Source organism: Homo sapiens, chromosome 8 (genome assembly GCF_000001405.40).
Source record: "Homo sapiens chromosome 8, GRCh38.p14 Primary Assembly".
NCBI lineage: Eukaryota > Metazoa > Chordata > Mammalia > Primates > Hominidae > Homo > Homo sapiens.
Window position 1 is genome coordinate 143,757,752 of NC_000008.11, and position 22,310 is coordinate 143,780,061.

The 22,310-nt window shown below is 49.4% G+C and overlaps 1 protein-coding gene and 1 pseudogene across 5 annotated transcripts in view, besides 1 other annotated feature; one reads left to right on the top strand and one right to left on the bottom strand.

Moving 5' to 3' along the window:
• The window catches only part of IQANK1 (IQ motif and ankyrin repeat containing 1), a 56,507-nt gene that overhangs the window by 23,613 nt on the left and 10,584 nt on the right, over window positions 1–22,310 (top strand). For 2 of the 4 annotated variants that reach the window (XM_047422100.1, XM_047422102.1), the window contains one exon: window positions 6,945–10,476. In XM_047422100.1, the coding sequence (XP_047278056.1) occupies window positions 6,945–6,950 (6 nt within the window). In that variant the 3' untranslated portion in view covers window positions 6,951–10,476. Of the gene's footprint in view, window positions 1–6,944; window positions 10,477–13,378; window positions 13,868–14,049; window positions 14,215–14,300; window positions 14,493–14,605; window positions 14,732–22,310 lie in introns of those variants that run through there. The other 2 variants (NM_001381874.1, XM_017014127.2) reach the window with 2 other exon arrangements.
• On the bottom strand, window positions 741–2,757 carry LOC105375800 (SREBF pathway regulator in golgi 1 pseudogene; annotated as a pseudogene). The gene is made up of 2 exons (NR_136279.1): window positions 2,619–2,757; window positions 741–2,055 (listed from the first exon to the last, which is right to left on the bottom strand). The product of NR_136279.1 is annotated as an SREBF pathway regulator in golgi 1 pseudogene (transcript).
• Window positions 12,360–13,033: an enhancer, noted in NCBI's record as "H3K27ac-H3K4me1 hESC enhancer chr8:144852281-144852954 (GRCh37/hg19 assembly coordinates)". NCBI's record gives its function as "activates a minimal SCP1, AML or CMV promoter by ChIP-STARR-seq in naive H9 embryonic stem cells {active_cell/tissue: H9 hESC(naive)}" and the evidence as "EXISTENCE:reporter gene assay evidence [ECO:0000049][PMID:30033119]".

Here is a 22,310-nt window from a genome sequence, read left to right on the forward strand (position 1 = left end):
AATTCTCCCACCTCAGCCTTTTGAGTAGCTAGGATTTTACAGGCCACTGTGCCTGGTGTATTTCATCTTTTAGGAGATATTCTAACATGCCCCAGGCTACTGGATTCCTAGAAACTTCACTGACATTGTAGGACCCTGAATTTTCATGGCTTGCATGAAAATGTCATTTCTTACTGAGGCATTCAAGGTATTTGCTACTCTGTGTTCATTTAGTCCAATCAGGATAAATTCACCAATATAGTGTATCAGTTCATGCTTTTGGGGGTCAAGACAATAAAGATCTCTGGATTAGATTACCTCAGAGAGTGGTAGCACTGACCCAGCAGTGAGACAAGAATGTGAGGGTGTTTTGTCGGCCCTATTATGTAAAAGCAAAGTGTTTCTGGTTATCCTTGCAAATTATTATTTTTCACGTTCTAAAAGACAAAACAGGCTCAGCGCAGTGGCTCACGCCTAAAATCCCAGCACTTTGGGAGGCCAAGGCAGGTGGATCACCTGAGGTCAGGAGTTCGAGGCCAGCCTGACCAACATGGAGAAACTTCGTCTCTACTGAAAATACAAAATTAGCTGGGCATGGTGGCACATGCCTGTAGTCCTAGCTACTCGAAGGCTGACGCAGGAGAATCGCTTGAACCTGGGAGGCAGAGGTTGTGATGAGCCGAGAATGTGCCATTGCACTCCAGCCTGGGCAACAAGAGCGAAACTCCATCTCAAAAAGAAAAAAAAAAGAAGATGAAACATTTTATCTGGGTGAAGGGATGATTTAACTCATGAAACTTGAGAACACGAGAACAACAAAAATACTTTCCTTGAACATTTTCAGCTAGAATGACACGGCATTCTCCTACATAAAACATTATAATTTTCCCACTACTCCAAAGGAATCCAATAAATAATTTTACAGTGAAGGGGCCTGGATCAAAACTGGCAGTGACACCTGGCCCCTGACAAGCCTGAGTCACAGGTCCCTGTGCAGGTCCCAGCGTCCAGTCCTCCAAGAACCAGCACTGCCGGAGCCTCGCTGTGGTTTCTTCCTTCCCCGATGGGACCAGCTGGAATTTCCAAGCTGCTTCACAGAGGCCAAAGATGACAACACGAGAGGTGGTCAAAGCCAAGGTTTCCCTGCGCTGCCTTTGTCTTCTTCCCATGGCCTGGCCTGAGTGCTGCAGCTGGGCCCCAGGAGATGAGCTCCTCGCCCAAGCTGGAGAGCATCCGCTGCACCCGCCATGCCGGGAAGAGCTCGGGTGGGCTTTCTCCATAGCAATTCTTCGCAATGGGGTCCCAATCGGTGGGATGAGGCCCTGGGATGAGGTCCTGCATTTGGCCGGACATGACTCAATACTGATCTTCGACTGCCATGAAGAGGTTCTGGAACACCACGATGCTCCAGGAGAAGCTCCTGGCTGGGCTGCAGGCAGCAAGAGACATGGCCAGCAGCCGTCACAGCAGCACTGCTTCACACTAGGGCTGTGGACGTTACAGCCCTGCACCAGCAAATCCCTCCTCTCGCAAACATAGCCTGGTTCATCCACGATGAGGAGCTTCCCTTGCACAGAGTTCTGGCACTGATTCCACGGGTGACTGCTACTGCCCAGGTTAACCTGCACTTTGCACGGGCTGGGCTGGTCGTGGTCTTGAACCTGGAGGAGAGTCCTATGTCTGACTCCCGCTCTTCCTGCCTGAAGGTGCTGCTGAGGACATGGATGAGGATATCTGGGCAAGGGCCCCACATGCCCAGCAGCCCCATCCTTGTGAATGATTATAGGGAGAAAAGCATTTTCCAGGCCAATGGCTCACTCCAGGTGCCAGGGGTCATGTCAATTTGCTCTGGAAAATATGTCACATCAGTAGCAGCAGGTGCAGTTGGAATAGCCACCTGCTGAGCTTTGTGAAAATCCACAGGCGTTCTCCAAGGATGCCCGCCTTGCGCCTCGCCCAGCTAGGGAGTCAGGTGGGGGCTGTGCTGGGGATCACCAGCCCTGCATCGTTCACATCTTTTGGGGGTAGCACTAACCTTGGCATTTTCACCAGACATGCAGATTTGAGTTCATTAACCTGGTAGGAAAGAAAAATTGCAGGGCTTCCATTTAACTTTTTATACCATGACAGCCGTAACCCTGTGGGTCACAGAGCTGATGTGAGAATGCCGCCGGTTTCTGGGATGTCTTTTTAGCTACACACTCAGGAGCTTGCAAAGTGACCACAGGCAGGCTCTGCAGAACTCCCAGGCCCAGCTCGAGATGAACTTGGACTACAGTTGCATGATCCCTGACCGTCAGCCACCACTTTGACTGGTGGACCACCATGGTGTTTTGGGGCCCCAGAATTTGGCATTCACCAAAATCAGTGTTCTGTGGGCCCTGAAAGCGCAGGATGTCGCCCTTGTCTGGAGCACCCCACTGAAGGGGCAGTGGCTCCCGTGGGGAAGGCTGGGAGGGCAAGTCCTGCACACCTGAGAGCCCAGGGAGCCCGGCTTTCTTGTCAACCACAGGTGAGGACAAGGACAGGAACACAACCAAATCAGTTGCACAACTGTGTCTTTTAGGGTCTGTCTCATGGCACATTCTGGTGCCAAGTACTGCATCTATCAGAGTACAGTCAGGAAACAGAAAACTTACCACATTTAAGTATTTAAAATTGTAGGGCTTGCACGGTGGCTCACGCCTGTAATCCCAGCTCTTTGGGAGGCTGAGGCAGGTGGATCACTGGAGTGCAGGAGTTCAAGACCAGCCTGGGCAACATGGTGAGATTTCATCTCTACAAAAAAAAAAAAAAAAATTAGCCAGGCGTTGATAATGGCAGGTGCCTGTAGTCCCAGCTTCTTGGGAGGCTGAGGTGGGAGGATCGGTTGAGCCTGGGAGCTGAGGCTGCAGTGAACCCTGAGCGTGTCACTGCAATCCAGCCTGGGCGACAGAGGGAGACCCTGCGTCCAAAATAAATACAATAAATAGTAAAGTTTTTATGAAGAATGGCCAAACAGCTATTATAAGTTTAAAGTAACAAGAAGGACCCTGAGCTCCCACGGAGATGATTCTGGAAGCAGCGATGCCCCCGGGTTGGAGCAGAGGAGCAGCGAGGGTTTTCTGCGCTCGGCATCGCGGCGGGGCCCTCCCAGGAGCCGGTCATCGCCGCGCAGGCGGGCCCGGGAGAGGCGGGGCGCGGCCCAGCGCGGTGGCATGGGGTCGACTTTGGACTTAGGAAGACTGCGCGGGGCGGGACCAGCTGCGGAGCGCAGGAGCACCAGGGACCTCCTGGTGCGAGCCGAAGACGGTCAGGGAGGCGCGCGGGCCCTGAAGACCCATCCTGAACCAGGGCGTCAATGCGGGTTTCGCCGGGAGCAGCAGAGCGCGGAGCGGAGACTCCTGGGGCGCAGATCGGGGTAGGGCTGGAGGTGGAGCCGTCCCCGGAGCCGCGCGCCCGAGAAGGGACCCGGAGCATCTCCCGCGGGCGCCCTGCTCCTCCGGCTCCCCGCCGCCACCCTTTACCCCCGGGGCCCCGCGCCAGCCTAGTGGCGGGACGGCCTCCCGTCTCCCCTGGGAGTCCCGGAGACGCCCGGCCCCTGCCTGCTGCTCCGGCCCCGGGAAGCTGCGCGCGGACGCGATGCCTCCGACTCAGACCCCGTCTGCTCCACTGCTTCTGCCTTTCTGACCCAACTTTTGTTTTTTATGTGTCCAAATCTTGTAATATATTTATCTGTTTTTGAACAATTACATACTGACAGCCATAATGATAACTCGGCCTGGCGGGGTAACTCACACCTGTAATCCCAGCACTTTAGGAGGCCTATGCGGGAGGATTGCTTCAGCCCAGGAGTTCGAGACCAACCTGGGCAACATAGTAAGACCCCAGCTCTACCAAAACCATTTTTAAAAAAGCATTAGCTGCCTGTAGTGCCAGCTACTCCGGAGGCTGAGGTAGGAGGATCGCTTGAGCCCAGGGAGGTCGAGGCTGCAGTGATCTGAGATCACATCACTATACTCCAGCCCATAAACATGGAGCCTTATAGCTATATGTAAGGTTTTACAAATTAAATTTCAAAAGAAAATAAATTTCAGTGTTTTTTTTTTTTGCAGGAAGTGTTATAGGATCTGCAATAAAAAGCATAACATATATTAGGATAGAAATATATCCTAACATATATGATGTATACATTCTCCCTCTATAGGACATATATAAAGGAGAGTGGGATAGATATTGTATTTCAAGGAGAGTAACACAGTATATCATTTCTACTTATCGTAGAGCTTCTGTGTGTCTACAAAGTGTGATTATGGGTGTCCAATCATTTATGGTATTTGTATCCCATTCGTAAAGTAAGAGTTTACTTTAAAATGTATCAATATACCAGAAATCTGATCCTTTGTAACTATTTAAACTTGTTAGGAAGAACTTTAGATGTCAGCATAGAAATATACCAGGCGTGGTGGCAAGCACCTGTAATCCCAGCTACTCGGGAGGCTGAGGTGGGAATCGCTTGAACCCAGAAGGCAGTGGTTGCAGTGAGCCGAGATCGCGCCATTGCACTCCAGCCTGGGCAACAAGAGTGAAACTCCATCTAAAGGAAGGAAGGAAGGAAGGGAGGGAGGGAGGGAAAAGAAAAGAAAAGAAAGTTTGAGGACCACAGTGTAGACGGCTGGATGTTCAGAGCTTTACCCAGGAGCCAGGCCCTGTTTGGCCAGCTGTGCCCATCTGCCAGGCATGGACATCTCACTAGGCAGCCAGGGCATCCACTGCTTCCAAAAGCTTCCCAGGTCCTATCCCTGTGCCCTCATCAGCATACTGCACTGTCAAGATCATCTCAGGGGTGCTGAGACCACCAAGCTCCCTGTGGACATGACAAGATGGGAAGATACGCTGATGCCACTTCCATGGAGGGGCAACTTGCTTCTGGTGAATGTTGATTGAGGAAGGAAAAAATATTTACCAGATCAGTCACTGCATAACAGGTGGTAAATTGTATTGATTTGTTTCATTAAGGAGAACACACTTGGAACAGCAGCTGCAAGGGGAGTCACCTTCTGATTAAGCTGACAATGACCTAGGCATTCCCCAAAACCATCATTTTCTATTGAAATAAAACTGGAGAATGAAGTCTCAGACTGTGCAATTAGTCTACGCAATCCCCTAGTGATGCTGTGTTTTCTCTGACAGGCTGTTGTGGTAGGAAATTCATGACCCTCCCTCTTTTCTTTTTTTTTCTTTTCTCTTTTCTTTTCTTTCCTTTCCTTTCCTTTTGTTTTCCTTTTCCTTTTCCCTTTCTTTTCCTTTTCTTTTTCTTTTCTTAAAACTGAGTCTTGCTCTGTCACCCAGGCTGGAGTGCAGTGGTGCGATCTCAGCTCACTGCAACCTCTGCCTCCTGGTTCAGGAGATTCTCCTGCCTCAGCCCCCTGAGTAGCTGGGATTACAGGCGCCCGCCACCACGCCTGGCTAATTTTTGTATTTTTATTAGAGACGGGGTTTCACCATGTCAGCCAGGCTGGTCTCAAAGTCCTGACCTCATGATCTGCCCGCCTTGGCCTCCCAAAGTGCTGGGATTACAGGCGTGAGCCACCGTGCCCGGCCTGGCTTTTCTTATAATGATGGTAAGAATATGATAATGGTAGTTAACATCTGTTGAATGCTTATTGTGTGTGAGACCCTGCTCTAAGTATTTTATATTTATTAGCTGATATGGTTTGGTCCCCTCCAAATCTCGTATTGAAGTGTGATCCCCAATGTCAAAAGTGGGGCCTGGTGGGAGGTGTTTGGATCATGGGGGCGGGTCTCTCATGAATGGTTTGGTGCCCTCCTCACCATCATTAGTTCCACTCCGTGAGCTCACAAGCTCGCACGAGAGCTGGTTGGTTACACAGCCTGGCATCCATCTTGCTCTGCCACTTGCCATGGGGCACACCTGCTTCTCCTTTACCTTCTACCATGAGTAAAGGCTTCCTGAGGCCTCCCCAGAAGCAGAGCAGATGCAGGTGCCATGCTTGTGCAGCCTGCAGAACCGTGAGCCAAGTAAACCTCTTCTCTTTATAAATTACCCAGTCTCAGGTGTTCCTCTGTGGCAATGCAAAAACAGACTAACACATTAGCCAATTGATCCTCCAAACAGAAACAAAATCCACAAGCCCTAGGGGCAGGCAGAGTGGTTAACCCTCTTTTAACATATGAATACACTGGGGACTTAAGCTGGTAATTTTTTGTTATACGAGATATGATAATTCATTTCAACGGAGTCACAAAAAGTCCCTCAAGTTTTGATTTGGGAATTTAAAAATATGTAGCTGATCTGGGAATAGAAGGATGATTCTCCTTCAAGGACCATGCCTTGTTTAAAGTTCTACATTCCTCTGATACTCTCAGCAGTCACAGAACAGAGACAGGAAACATTGTGTGGAGGGCCCGCCGGAAGGACTCGGCGGCAGAGGATTCCACCTGCACAGGAAAGGTGGACAGCTGCTTGGTAGCAGAAAAAAAACGAACAAAACCTGACTCATACAACCTGTAAGCAACGCCCCCAAATCAAAGGAAAAAGCTGCAGATCACAAATCATCCAATATTCCAGTATCCCAGTATTCAGAAATAACAAACGTGCAGACCAGGCGCAGTGGCTCCTGCCTTAAACCCCAGCACTCTGGGAAGTTGAGGTGGGAGGATCACTTGAGCTCAGGAGTTTGAGACCAGCCTGGGCAACATGGTGAGACTCCGTCGCTACAAAAAAAAAAAAAAAAATTAGTGCCTGTAGTCCCAGCTCCTCAGGAGACTGAGGTGGGTGGATCACCTGAGCCTGGGGAGGTCAAGGCTGCAGTGAGCCGTGATGGCGTCACTGCACTCCAGCCTCAGTAACAAAGCAAGACCCTGTTTCTAAAAAAACCAAACAAAACAAAACTGAAAAAAGAAATAACAAACGTGCAAACATTTGATAAATAATCCAAATATTTCTCTCTCCATTTTTACAGGGGTAAATTTCCATAATTATGAAGAGGCAGAAAGAGATGGAGAGAGAGAATGTTATAACAGCAGAGATATTTTATACATTTCATTTTAAAAATAAAATGTTAAATTTAACAAATGAAAATTAGTGAACCTCAAGGAATTGCTGGATGCATAAAAATCTCTTAAAAATTGTGTACAAAAGAACATATGTAATATATATGTGCCTTAGGACAATAGAATGTAAGAGCTCACATGTCACCAACACTATTGCATCCCCACCTAACTCTGCTCCTCCCTGCAGATGAATCCACTCTTACAAATGTGTTCACCATTCCCTTACTTTTAAAATACAATTTTCAAAAAATAAAAAATAAAAATTTCAAGAATCATATATATAGCCGCGCCGGGTTTGTTGGCTCATGTCTGTAATCCCAGCACTTTGGGAGGCCAAGGCGGGCAGATCCCTTGAGGTCAGGAGTTCAAGACCAGCCTGGCCAACGTGGTAAAACCCCGTCTCTACCAAAAAATACAGAAGTTAGCCAGGCATGGTGGCGCACGCCTGTAATCCCCGCTACTTGGGAGGCTGAGGTGGGAGAATCACTTGAACCCTGGAGGCCGAGGTTGCAGTGAGCCAGGATCACACCACTGCACTCCAGCCTGGGAGACAGAGTAAGACCTTGTCTCAAAAAAAAAAAATCATATATTTATGATTATATATAATCCTCTCATCCTCACCCAATCTGAGAATGTCTATCTTTACATTTTGCAAAATTACTGGATATAAAATGAGCCTCCATGGTAATTTTAGTTTGCATTTCATGGAATGTGTTTTCAAAGGTTTATTAGCCAATCCATTTTCCTCTTCTGGGAAATGCCTGTTCATCTCTCTGCCCATTGCTCTATGGATTACTTACCTGTTTCTTTGACATATGCAGAAGTTCTTTAACAGGTTTATGTGTTGCAAATTTCTTTTCCAAATTTATATGGTTTTTCACTTTTGGTATGTTATTTTTAGATAAGCAGAAGTTTTACATTTTGACATGCTTTAGTCGTCTTTTCCTTTGTGGTATATAAAGTACATATTTTAAAAGTCATCCTTTGTTTTATGTAGCTGTGGTTCATGTTCATGGCTGTTTAGGTGTCTGTTATGTGCATATAACATTACTGATTCATTCTACTGCTGGTAGACATTTGGATTATTTGTAGATTTTGGTTTTAAAAATAACACTAGCATGGATTTTCTTGCACGTGTCTCCTGGTGCACACATCCATGCATTTTTGGGGGCACACACCTGGGAGAAAGGTTGCTAAGGCACAGGTGTGCCAAGCCGTCTGCTGACGTGGGTGTTCTGATTTCCCTCCCCACAGCAGTGTAGGGACCGGTGTTCTGCAAGCCTCCCGTGGGTAGTAGCAGCCTCTCTCTAGCCGGTGTGCGTGGTATTAGGTGAGGTTTTAGATTGGATTTCCCTGGTGACTAATGAGATTCATCACATTTCCATATATTTATTGGCCACCTGGGTAGGCTCTTGTGTGCATTCAGGTATGTTACTAGTTCTCTATTGTGCTGCTGCCTTTTTTCTTACGGCTTTGTAGTATTTCCCAATATATTCGGAATACAAACCTTTTGTCAGTTACATGGATTGCAAATACCTTCTCCCACTCACTGGCATTTTTACTTTCAATGGTGTCTTCTCGTGAATAGAACTAACTGATTTTTGCTGGGCATGGTGGCTCATGCCTGTAATCTCAGCACTTTGGGAGGCTGAGGTGGGTGGATCACCTGAGGTCAGGAGTTCAAGACCAGCCTGGCCAACATGGTGAAACCCCATCTCTACTAAAAATACAAAAATTAGCCAGGCGTGGTGGTGGGCACTTGTAATCCCAGCTACCTGGGAGGCTGAGGCAGGAGAATCGCTTGAACCCGGGAGGTGGAGGTTGCAGTGAGCCAGGATCGAGTCACTGCACTCCAGCCTACGTGACGGTGCGAGATTCTGTCTCACGAAAAAAAGAAAAAAAAAAGAACGTACTGATTTTAACATGTTTTCTTTTGGGTATTTTTTGTGGTGGTCTCTGAAATAAATCTTTCCAACTCCAAGTTCCTGAAGCTGTTCTCCCATGTGATCTTCAACGAGCTTTATGGTTTTGCCTTCCGGTGCGATCACCAGTCCATCTGGAATTGCCTGTTGTGAATGGGGTAAAGTAGCAGACACCTGTCCTCCCTCTCCTCATACGGGTTTCTGATTGGACCCCACCACTGACTGAAATCTCTATTCTTTCCCACGGCTCTGTAGGCCCCCTGGCCAGGAAGTGCCCATATGCCCGGGGGCTGTTTCTGAACCCACGGCCACTGGTCTCCGTGTGAGAACATCGCACTGTCTTCACCGACATGAGGTCCTAATATCAAGAAAAGCAAGTCCTCTCACCGAATTCTTCTTTGAATTATTTGCCATTCTTGGCTCTTTCGCAGATACATTCCAGAATCACGTGGTCAATTTTCACACAAACAAAGCAAAACAGCCCTGCTGGGTGAACTTCATTAGGATTTCGTTGAACCTATAGCTCAATGTGCGGAGAGTATCACCTCTACAGCAGTGTCCACTCAATCTATGAATATGGTATATCTCTCCTTTTGTTTTCTGTTTTGTCTTAGTGCTCTTCAGAAATGTTTTATGAGTGTGTGTGTGTGTGTTTGCTCATGTGTATAGAGATCTTGTGTGTATCTTTGTCAGATTTAATCCTAGTATTTGACAATTGTTTACTTTTTTATTTTCAAGTAGTTTTGGTCTTGCAGAAAAGTAACAGAATTAGTATGGGGATTTTCCATAGATGTGTAACTTACCCAGCTTCCTCTAAGATTAACATCTTACATAGAGACAGTACAAGGAACAGAACCAGGAAATCAACACTAGCATAAAACCATTAACTAAAGACCTTCTCAAATTTCACCAGTTTTTCCAGGATGCCATATTGCATTTATTTGCTGTTTCTGCATAGTTACCTGTAGTCTGTAACTGTTCCTATAGTCATGACTTTTCTTTCACGACCTTGACACTTTTGAAGAATGAATCTGAGTGTGGTGGTGTATACCTGTGGTCTTGGCTACTCAGGAGGCTGAGGCAGGAGAATGGCGTGAACCCGGGAGGCGGAGCTTGCAGTGAGCCAAGATGGAGCCACTGCACTCCAGCCTGGACGATGGAGCGAGACCTTTTTTTTTTTTTTTTTTTTTTGTGAGACAGAGTCTCGCTCTGTCGCCCAGGCTGGAGTGCAGTGGCTCAATCTTGGCTCACTGCAAGCTCCTCCTCCCGGGTTCAAGTGATTCTTCCTGCCTCAGCCTCCCCTGTAGCTGGATTACAGGCGCCGCCACCACACCCAGCTAATTTTTGTACTTTTAGTAGAGACGGGGTTTCACCATGTCGGCCAGGTTGGTCTCAAACTCCTGACATCAGGTGACCCACCTGCCTCGGACTCCCAAAGTGCTGGGGTTACAGGTGTGAGCCACTGTGTCCGGCTGAGGCTCTGTTTCTAAAAATTAAAAATAAAATAAAGCAGAAATGATGTTGTGTTTTTGACGTACATCATGTCATGGGGCTTACGGTGCGGGAACGTCTCACCGCTTGTGACGTTGCCCTCGATCACTTAGTAGGAGGGTTTCCGCGAATGTCTCACTGCTTGTGACGTTGCCCTCGATCACTTAGTGGGGGGGTTTCCGCCAGGTTTCTCCTTTGTAAATGTACTATGTTTTCCTTTCGTGGTTGATACTTATCTTGGAAGAGATATATTGAGACAAGAGAAATTCTGCTTCTCTTCAAACCCCTGCCCACTGAAACGTGCGCCGGCGGACATACGTCGGTGGCTGTCAGCTGCAGCCGCTGCACTTCTTGTGTGCCCGATGGGAATCTGCTCCTTCCCTGCCCCCTCCTACACCCATTGATGGGATTCTACTTTCCCTCCACTCCCTCTAGTGTGTTTTTAATCCTTTATTTGTATCACTGTGGACTCACTGACGTTTATTTTGTGGGCTTAATCCAAGTATATGATAGTTTTTTGATGCTAAATATATTAAATTTTTCTGTTGCTGCTTGTGTACAGAAATACACTTTGTGAGTATGAGGTTATATTCAGAACCTTCCCAAGATTGCTTATTGATGATAATCATTTGTGATGAGTTCTTCTGGATTTTTATGTGCATCATCTGCAAATGAAGATGACTTTGACTGTTTGCTGTCACTCTTTGGAGCTGGGCCCCTGTTACCATCAGGGTTATTTTATTTCGTGAAGGTTGTGATTCTGACCCAAATAGGGCTACCAGATGAAACAGGGCTCCCAAAATCCGGGACATCCATTTAAATTTGAATTTCTCATATATACATATTCTATATGTATAATATAAAAATATATATATTTTACTGAGACAGGGTCTCGCTCTGTTGTCCAGGCTGGAGTGCAGTGGCATGATCATGGCTCACTGCAGCATTGACCTGGGCTCAAGCCATCTTCCCATCTCAGCCTCCTGAGTAACCGGGACTACAGATGCACGCCACTGCACCCAGCTAATTTTTAGTTATTTGTAGAGACAGGGGTCTCCCTACGTGGCCCAGGCTGGTCTTGAACTTCTGGGCTCAAGTGGTCCTCCCACCTTAGCCTCCCAAAGTGTTGGGATTACAGATGTGAGCCATTGCACTTGGCCCTATATATATTTTTTTAAAGAGAGACAGGGTCTCACCACGTTGTCCAGGCTGGCCTCAAACTCCTGGGCTCAAGCAATCCTCCCATCTCAGCCTCCCAATGTGCTGGGATTACAAGGCCACTGCGCTTGGCCTAAATTTGAATTTCAGATAAACAGGAATAATTTACTTAGTGTATGTCCCCCAAATTGCATCCTGTTTATTAGCTAAATCTGGCAACCCTAAACCCAAGCCATACCCAGTGCTCTAAATGCAGGTCTGTCCCTTGGCCCGTCCTCTGCTGAGCAGCTGACCCTTTGCTCTGGGCCAGGCCAGGCCCACCTGCCTGGTGTTGGGACCACCCTGCTGCACTGTTTTGGAGACCTCGTTCTTCATTTCCTCAGTAGCTTTGAATGCCGTCAGACACTTGTTTAAAAAACACTTTGATTTCGTCTGTCTTCTCTCTTGCTGTCACTGGGAAGGCTGCACCTCCTGCCCTGCCATCTGTGCTGCAGAACCAAATACTCTTCCTGGCCTACTGTTTTCCCTGCAGAATTTTGTGGACACTGCTTCATTTTCTTCTAACATTTAGTGTTTCTGTAAAAAGCCTTCGGAGGTGGCCGTGGTGCACAGGCGTGTGCCTGTGGTCCCAGCTACTCGGAGGCTGAGGTGGGAGGATTGCCGGAACCGGGGAAGTGGAAGCAGCAGTGAGCAGAGATTGTGCCACTGTGCTGCATCCTGGGTGACAGAGTGAGACCCTGTCTCAAAAAGAAAAAAGCCTCAGGAGAGCCGGACTTTCCTGTCATAGGTGCTTTGCTCTTTCTCCTCGGGTGCTTGAAAAACATTTTGTTTTGAGGCTTAACTTCAGCGAATTGTGTCTGATGCCTGTTGTTCATGCCCTTTGTTTTCTGGGATTTTTCCCCCTTTTGTCTTAAGATTCATTTCAGGATTTCCTGGGTTTTATCTTGAGTGTTTGCTCTTTGCTTGCATTGTCAGTCTCTGCATCCTAGACGCACGTTATTCTTATGACTGTATTATCTCTGTCCACTGCCACTCGGGGTCCCGCCCTCCTGACGGCGCCTCTCCCTTTATTCTCCTTCGCTGTGATTTTCCCACATGGGCTCAGCTCTCCACCCTGCCCCCGCTGGCTGCTCCGGTCCGTGCCCTGGGCCTGCAGGGTCTTCCGCGTCTCCCAGTCTCGCCTCATCCCGCCATTCTGCCCATGCTCCCTGGGAGCTTGGTTGTGGGAATCATAGTACTTGGCTCCCCAGCGGGCGCACCTGTGGAGACCCAGCTGCGCTGCCTGCTTGCTTCTGGCCTGCGCTCCCGTGGCTCCCTGCTGGGTACCCGCGTGGCCCGACAGCCTCGCCTGGCCACCCGTGCCCTGGCACAAGTCACACCCACGGGGCGCACGCTGAGCGTTCACTGTGGCGGAAGCGCCACAAGCGCCCCATTGCTGGACTCTTAGAAAGCTGCAGGTATCGTTCCACGTTAGAGCAAGGGGCTCAGGCCGGGGAGGCTGAGTGGTGCCCGGACTTCCCCAGGCCAGTCAGGGCAGCGCTGAGCCCGACGCCCTCTCCTCCGCCCCCTCCTCACTGCGAGGCGGCTCCAGGCTCGGGCTCAGCGCTCCGTTGCAGCCGCGGTGGGGCGAGGGCGAGGCCGAGCCGGAGAGGACAGAGCTCCCTCTGGGGCCCTGGGCTCCGCGCCCTCTTCTGAGTCCAGCGGGGCTGTGATGAGCCCTCCCAGGCCTGGGGCCCCCCCGCTCAGTCCAGCCTTCGCTCGCTGGGGCCTGGATGCAGGAGGGGCCTTCGGCTTTCAGGGAAGGGTGTCCCGCGGGGGACAGCACCCCTTCCTCACCGTTCCTCGGGGCTCCCGAGCTGCGGGCTCGGCGGGGCTCGCAGGATCCCCGGCGGCGTGGGGCGGGGGAGGTTCCCGCAGACCTGGGTCCTCTCCGCGTCCCGGGCTCTCGCGCAGCCTCCTCGTGCGGCCTCTGCGGGCGGGAACCCCGGCTCGGCCGCGCTGGGGGCTTTGAGAGCCGTTTGGGTCCTTCTGTCGGGGCGGGGGCGGGGGCGGGGCCGGCTCCACTCCCAGGGGCGCAGCAGGCGTGGCTGGAGGCGAGAACGCGCCCCCGTGAGCCTCTCCCCACCCCAGGGCCGGCCGAGGACCGAGCGGCCAGAGCGATCCAGGGCGCCTTCCGGCAGCTCCGGGCCAGGAGGGAGCTCGCCCGCCGCCGGGAGGAGCGCCGGGAGTACCTGGAGCAGATGGAGACGCCGCAGAAGGAGGTGAGGACGGGCAGCCGCAACAGCCGGGGGCCAGGCAGGAGGCAGGGGGAGGAAATGGCGAAGCAGGGTGCGTGGTGGGGGTGAGGCTCAGATCGGGCTCCGACCTCAGAGGCGTGGACCGTGGCCTCGGGGCTCGGGGCGGTGGCGCGGAGTGGGCGGTGACTTCGGCGGGCGCCTCCCAGGCCTACCTGGCTCCGGTGCGCCGGGAGCAGGAGGCCGCGCGGCGGCTGCGCGAGCAGGAGGAGGCGGCGCAGCGGGAGCGGCGGGAGGAGCTGCAGCGTCGCCGCCGCCTGCTGGACGCCGCCTTCGACGGGGACGTGGGCGAGATCCGGGCGGTGCTGAAGGAGGTCAGCGGGGGCGGGAGGAGGACGAGGGCGGGGGGTGGGGTGGGAGTGGGAGGAGCGGGGAGCGGTGACCGCGGCGAGCTGCGCAGGTGGAGCAGCTGCTGACGCGCGAGGGCGTGGGCCACGACGAGGCAGGCGAGGCGCGGCGGCTGCAGCGACGCGTGGCTCTGGCGGAGTGCGAGGACAGCTACGGGAACACGCCGCTGTCGGAGGCGGCCGCAGGCGGGCAGCCCCTGGCCATCCAGCTGCGGGCCGAGCTCGGCGCCAGCCCCAACAGCAAGGTGGGCGCCGTGGGCCGCGGGCCGCCGCGCTGAGGGGCGCGGTCCAGGGCCCTCAGGGGCCTCCTTCCCCCAGGGGCAAGGCCTGGATCTTGCTCGGGGGGCCCGTCTTGCAGGGCGCTTTCGGTCCGACGCCGCTGTACCGTGCAGCCTTTGGGGGCCACCTGGCAGCTGTGGAGGTGCTCCTGAAGCTCGGAGCAGACCCCCGGGTGTACGCAGAGGACGGGAGCACCCCTGAGCGGGTGTGGACCCCAGAGGTGTGGGCCCCGGGAGGTGTGAGCCCCGGGAGGTGTGGGCCTCGGGAGGTGTGAGCCCCGGGAGGTGTGGGTACCGGGAGGTGTGAGTCTGGCAGGTGCACACCCAGGCAGGGAAGGCTCACCCGACCGGCTGTCTCTGAAAGCTGTCAGAAGCCTGAGTGGCCTGCTAGAGCGGTTTCCTAGCCCCGCCGTGCGCCATTCCCTTCCTGGAAGTCCTGACTTTAAAACCTCGTCAGTCTGCAGTGGAAGTGGCAGCGACTCCCATTTTGTGAATGCCTTTGGTGTCGGGTTTTGTGTCATTTCCTTCCGTGCTTTGCCTGAGGAAGTGGTGTTACTGATGGAGAAACTGAGGCTGGCGATTCCAGGGTTGGCAGAGCTCACGGCGCTGGGGGCAGCACGGGGCCCACCCATCGGTCCCCTCACTGTCAGTACGTCGGTTTTCCAGAGAACTTGAGCCACACAGCCCAGCCACAGAGCTCCTTTCTAGAGCCTTTGAGCTATGTTAGAAAGGACAGTCTGGCTGTCTGGCCGGGCGTGATGGCTCACACCTGTAATCTCAGCACTTTTGGGAGACTGAGGCGGGTGGATCACTTGAGCTCAGGAGTTTGAGACCATCCTGGCCAACATGGTGAAACACCATCTCTACTGAAGATACAAAAATTAGCTGGGCGTCGTGGCGCACGCCTGTAGTCCCAGCTACTTGGGAGGCTGAGGCAGGAGAATCGTTTGAACCTGGGAGGCAGAGGTTGCAGCGAGCCAAGATGGCGCCACTGCACTCCAGCCTGGGCAACAGAGTGAGACTCAAAAAAAAAAAAAAAACAAAAAAAACACAAAAAAAACAGAGTCTGCCCTGGGCCAGGCTGGAGACACAATGCCTGGACTTGTCCCAGGCCCAGGAGTGGGGTGGGGTGAGGCTGACTCCGCCTGTTGGAGCAGTGGCTGGAAAACCAGACCACGAACCTCGCCTACCTTAGTTTCATTTAAATCAACTTAATTTGAACCCCAGTCCCTCTCCCATCTCAGTCATTATGTTCCCCCACCCCACCCCTAACCTCACCCCACATCCCACACAAATCTGGAGGTGCTGCCTGGAGTCTGGGTTCTGCCTCTGGCCCACGGCAGACACCTGGGAGATGCATCCACTGGACTGCTGCCAGAGTCTTTGCCCAGCTAGGGACCCACCCCCAGACTCTCCTCCTGTAGGTGCTGCCTGGGAGCCTGTCCTGCCCCTCTCTTCTTTCTCCTTGTCTGCAAAGGGTCCTTCTTCCTGGGCTGGAGGGGAGGGGCAGGGCCGAGGCGGTGGGCTTAGGGAGGGGCTGAGGATACGGTGAGGCGTCCAGAGGTGCAAGTGGGAGTCAGGGGTGCTGGGGTGTCCAGCAGACCTGCTGCCTGGGGCATGGTGGCCCGGAGAGCTGAGAAGGGCAGCAGCTGGGGGTGCTGGGGGAGCCCTTGGGTGCCAGGGGACTGTGTGTTCACTCCATGGTGCTGGAGCATTGGCCATCCACAGGCAAAGGGGTTAGTGTGGACCTGAAGCACACACCTATAAAAAATGAACTCAAAGTGGATTATAGATTTAAATGTAAAGGGTAAAATTACAAAACTTTTAGAACACATAGGAGAAAAATCTTTGGGGCCTAGGACTTGGAGGGATTCTTGGACATGACACAAAAAGCACAATCCAAAAAAAAAAAAAAACCACATTGATAAACAGAACTTCATCAGAATGTAAAATGTTTGCTTTGTAAAAGACCTGTCAAGAAGAAAAGAAGCCACAGGCAGGAGCAAACGTTTGTGAACCACGCATCTGGCAAGGCACGTGTACCTAGAACATAGAAAAAACTCACATCGCAAACAACAATGAAACATACAATCTAGGTATAAAATGAGCAAAGACATGAAGAGAAATTTCACCAAAGAGGATCTAATGATGGCAGATGAACACCCGAGGAGGTGTTGCACACCACCTCACACCTCCCAGGACAGCCCAGGTCAAACTAGAGCTGGAGCCGAACGAGGGCAGGGATGTGGGGAAGCTGGCCCTGCCACACCTTGCTGGGGGGACGCAGCACCAGTACAGCCGCTCTTGCAAATAGGCAGGCGGTTTCTTAAAAAGTGAACACATTTACCATGTAACACAGCATCAGACTCCTAGACATTTGCTCCAGTAAAAGGAAAACTAGGTCCACACAAAAATGTGTACACAGATGTTCACAGCAGCTTTATTTACAATAGCCAAAAAGTGGAAACGACTCAGATGTCCTCCAGCAGGCGAGTGGCTCCACTAGCTTGGTGCATTCCTGCCACGAAACACGCTTGGCAATAAAACGGTGTGCACACATGATCCATGCAACAACTAGCAACGTGGAGAAACCGGAAGGGAGCTTCACAGAGTGGGGGAGAAGGTCACACACACTCACATGACAACACTGTGGAGACGGAGGACAGATCGGAGGGCTGCAGGGGTTACGGATGGGAGTGGGGGCAGGAAAAGCGGGGAGAGATGGGGCCGACTGGGCAGGAGTAGCACAAGAGACCCTTGAGGTGATGAGACAGTCTTGTATCTTGATTACGATGGTCGTAACGCAAAACTGCACATGTGAGAAAATTGTAATGATACACACACACACACGAGTAGATGTGAAATAGTTGAAATCCACTGTGAGCCCTGTAGATTGTACTATGTCAGTATCCTAGTTTGTATGTTGTACCGTAATTATGTAAGAAGTCATCATTGGGGGAGCTTGTTAAGGGTATATGGGAACTCTACTATTTTTGTAACTTCATGTAAATCAAAATAAAAATTCAAAATAAAAATTTAGTTAAATTGCCAGGCATGCTACACACACACACACACACAGACACACACACACACACACACGAAAAATGACCCAGAGTGAAGAGAAAAATCAATGAAAACAGACTCAGGGATGACACAGGAGATGGAATTAGTAGACAAGAACATTAAAAGTTATTATAGCTGAGGCCGGGCGGGGTGGCTCACACCTGTCATCCCAGCACTGTGGGAGGCCGAGGCGGGCAGATCACAAGGTCAGGAGTTTGAGACCAGCCTGGCCAACATGGTGAAACCCCATCTCTACTAAAAATACAAAAATTAGCTGCTGGGCGTGGTGGTGGGCACCTCTAATCCCAGCTACTTAGGAGGCTGAGAGAGGAGAAGTGCTTGAACTCAGGAGGCAGAAGTTGCAGTGAGCTGAGATCGCGCCACTGGGCTTCAGCCTGGGCAACAGAGTGAGATTCCGCCTCAAAAACAAAAAAACTATAGCTGTATTACACACACACACACACACACACACACACACACACACCATTCCTAAACTAGAGATGAAAACTGCAATGTCTGAGATGAAAAGTACATTGATACACTGGATGGGATTAATGGAAGATGCAGATTAGACACTGAAGAAAATTAGTTAATCTGAAGATATAGCAATAGAAACTCTCCAAAATGAAACAAAGAGAAAGAGAAGGTTGAAAAAAATTGAGGAGGGCCGGGCGCGGTGGCTCACGCCTGTAATCCCAGCGGCCGGGCGCGGCGGCTCACGCCTGTAATCCCAGCACTTTGGGAGGCCGAGGCGGGCAGATTACGGGGTCAGGAGATCAAGCCCATCCTGGCTAACACGGTGAAACCCCGTCTCCACTAAAAATACAACAAATTAGCCGGGCGTGGTGGCGGGCGCCTGTAGTCCCAGCTACTCGGGAGGCTGAGGCAGGAGAATGGCGTGAACCCAAGAGGCAGAGCTTGCAGTGAGCTGAGATGGCGCCACTGCAGTCCGCAGTCCGGCCTGGGCGACAGAGCGAGACTCCGTCTCAAAAAAAAAAAAAAAAAAGAAAAAGAAAAAAGAAAAAAATTGAGCAAAAACGTCTGATTTATCCTCTCACTTCAAACAAGAACAAATCCAAGACAGAATATAGGAAACAAAGGTTTCCAAGACATTGGACATCAGGCAACAAATCAGAAAGAGATCTCCAAGAGGCTGAAAATAAGCAAAGTGAGCCCTAAGCTTGTCCCAGTTTACCACCTTGAGAGAATTTTCAGGGTGTAGTATAGGAAGGGGGAACGTAGACAGAGCCAGGCATATTCTCTGAGTTAAGGAGACAAGAATTCAGAATTCAAGGATACTGAGGCAGCAGGAGATCACAAGTGCCAGAGGGGAGACAGCTGAAGAAAGAAAGAACCCTAGAGACATGGACACGATCCCCTTTGGTCATTCAGTTGGATCCCTCGTGGTAGTTAGTTGTAGCTAATAAGGCAGTTGAATATTTAATGGCTCCTATACATGGGGAAACGGCTCAAGGCTGGGGAAACGGGCTTCTGAGAAGCGTGAAGGAAGCAGTGCCTACTCCCGTCAGCCAGGGTGAAAAATCTCATGATTCATAGGGTATTGGGTGGAGTTCTCAGAAGGAGCTTGGCTCAGTGGTGAGGGATCATTATTCCTAGAATTAAAAAAAAAATTAATTTGAACCAGGCATGGTGGCATGTGCCTGTGGTCCCAACTACTTGGGATGCTGAAGGGGAAGGATCACTTGAACCCAGGAGATGGAGGCTGAAGTGAGACGTGATTGTGCCACTGTCCTCCAGCCTGGGCGACAGAGCAAGACCCTATATAAGACACACACATATATATACACACACATATATATTATCGTATATATACATATATATGCACATACATTATCATATATACATATATACACATATATATGAGATAATAATTGGCTGGCCACAGTGGCTTACACCTGTAATCCCAGCACTTTGGGAAGCTGAGGTGCGTAGATCACCTGAGGTCAGGAGTTTGAGACCAGGCTGGCTAACATGGTGAAACCCTGTCTCTACTAAAAATACAAAAATTTGCTGGGCATGGTGGCAGGCGCCTGTAATCCCAGCTGCTCAGGGGGCTGAGGCAGGAGAATTGCTTGAACCCGGGAGGCGGAGGCTGCAGTGAGCTGAGCTGAGATCATGCCACTGCACTCCAGCCTGGGCGACAGAACAAGACTCCGTCTTAAAAAAAAAAAAAAAAAAACAAACCACTAAAAAAAAATCCCAAAATATACCGGAAAGGCTGGGAGGGGTAAATGGAAGTGTATTGTCTTAAGGTTCTTATATGTGCAGTGGTTTAATATCATTAAAAAGTAGATTGTGACAATTTAGAGCTGTATACTCTAAAGCCTAAAGCAACTACTACAATATCAAAAGAGTTGGAGCTAATAAGCCAACAAAAGAGATAAAATGGAATTCTTAAAAAATATTGCCAAAGAAGTCAGGAAAAGAGGAAAAGGAAAAGAACCACTGGGACCAGTGGGAAACAAACAGCAAATGGTAGATTTTAACTCCACCATATAAATAATCTCATTACACATGGACATTCTAAACACCCCAATTAAAAGATGGATTGTTGCCGGGCGCGGTGGCTCACGCCTGTAATCCCAGCACTTTGGAAGGCCGAGGCGGGCGGATCACGAGGTCAGAAGATCGAGACCATCCTGGCTAACATGGTGAAACCCCGTCTCTACTAAAAATACAAAAAAATTAGCCGGGCATCGTAGCGGGCGCCTGTAGTCCCAGCTACTTGGGAGGCTGAGGCAGGAGAATGGCGTGAACCCAGGAGGCGGAGCTTGCAGTGAGCCAAGATCGCACCACTGCACTCCAGCCTGGGTGACAGAGTAAGACTCCGTCTCAAAACAAAAAAAAAAAAGATGGATTGTCATTTTGGATTAAAAATTGTAGCTAACTATGTTCTACCTATAAGAAACAAGCTTTAAATGTAAAAGCACAAATAGTTGAAAATTAAAATGATAAAAACAAATATGCCAAGATAACACTAAACAGGATGCTGAAGTAACTGTATTAACATCAAGTAGATTTCAGAAAAAAGTATGTTACTAAGGATAAAAGAATCATTTAGTAATGACAAATGTAGGAATTCATCATGAGGACATAAAAATCCTAAATGTTCATGCAGCTACTAACAGGGTTTCAAAATGCATGAAGCAAAAACTATGAGAACTACAAGGAGAAATAAAGAGATCCACAATGGTAATAGGCGATTTTGCCATCTCTCTCTCCCCATAATTGATGAGACAAGTAGACGGAATATCAGCGATGATACCGAAGAGCTGAACCACGCTGTCCATCACCATCCCTTCATCATTCATCAGTCATCGTTTCCATACATTCACCCACTTCATCCATCTCGCCCCAGTATTGGTTTGCGCTTTCGCCAATTCATAATTATCTTATTAACTTGAGTCATTTATTTATTTATTTAGAGATGGAGTCTTGCTCTGTCACCCAGGCTGGAGGGCAGTGGCGCAATCTCACTGCAACCTCTGCCTCCCGGGTTTATGCGGTTCTCCTGCCTCAGCCTCCAGAGTAGCTGGGACTACAGGCATGCGCCACCACGCCCAGCTAATTTGTTCTTTTGTATGTTAAGTAGAGATGGGGTTTTGCCATGTTGGCCAGCTGGTTTCGAACTCCTGACCTCAGGTGGGCTGCCTGCCTCGGCCTCCCAAAGTGCTGGGATTACAGGTGTGAGCCACCATGCCCAGCCATGAGTCATTTATTTATAAACTTATAAATAAATTTATAAGCTTATATATAAATTTATGAACTTATAAACATATATAAATTTATAAACTTATAAGCTATCCACTCATTAATGTGCCCATTCCACCCTTACACCATGTTTAAATAATTATTCACTTATTTTTTATCTACTATTCATTCAGACATCCATTCATCCATTCATACACGCATTCATGCTGTTTACTTGACAGAAAATTATGAGAAAGCAAAGAAGGACTGTGTCTCGTTCACCCCTTAATCGTATGCCCCAGTATTGGTTGACCACGATAGGCACTGAAACATTTTGTTGAACGATGAATTCATCCATCAATTCATCCATCCAGTTGCTCAACTAACCATTTGCTTATCTCACGTATCCATTCTTTACACTCATTCATCTATTAATTTTTCATGTATCAGTTCATCATTTAATCAGTTCATTCAATTAATCTAATCTTCATTCTCTTATAGTTTAATTCATTAATTTACTCATTCATTCATCATTTATTGCCTATTCATTAAGACACTCGTAAGTTTACTCGTTATATTATCCTTTTATTTTCTGTCTTCATTCATTTTCCGTCTACTCCAGTTCTTCCACTTACAGACAGAACTTTGGCAAGTTCTGAAGCTTATTTGAATCTGTTTCCATATATTCAGAAATGGGACTAATAACAGCTTTTTGAAGATTCATGAGATAGTGAATGAAATTCCTTGGCACAATTCCTGGTGCAAAGTCAGTTCTCAAGAAATGGTAGCTATTATTATTTTAAATGAGTATCACAATTTCTTTTAAGTTACAAAATCATTGCCTCATTCGTATGTCTGTTCACTCTTCCATCCTATTTATCTAGTTATCCATTCATCCCTTCTCTCATTTTAGCTACTCCTTGATTTTATACATCTTCAGACTTTCCTTTTTAATTACAAATGACATACAGAATATTGCAGAAATCAAAGTTGTGGCTCAATTATTTACCA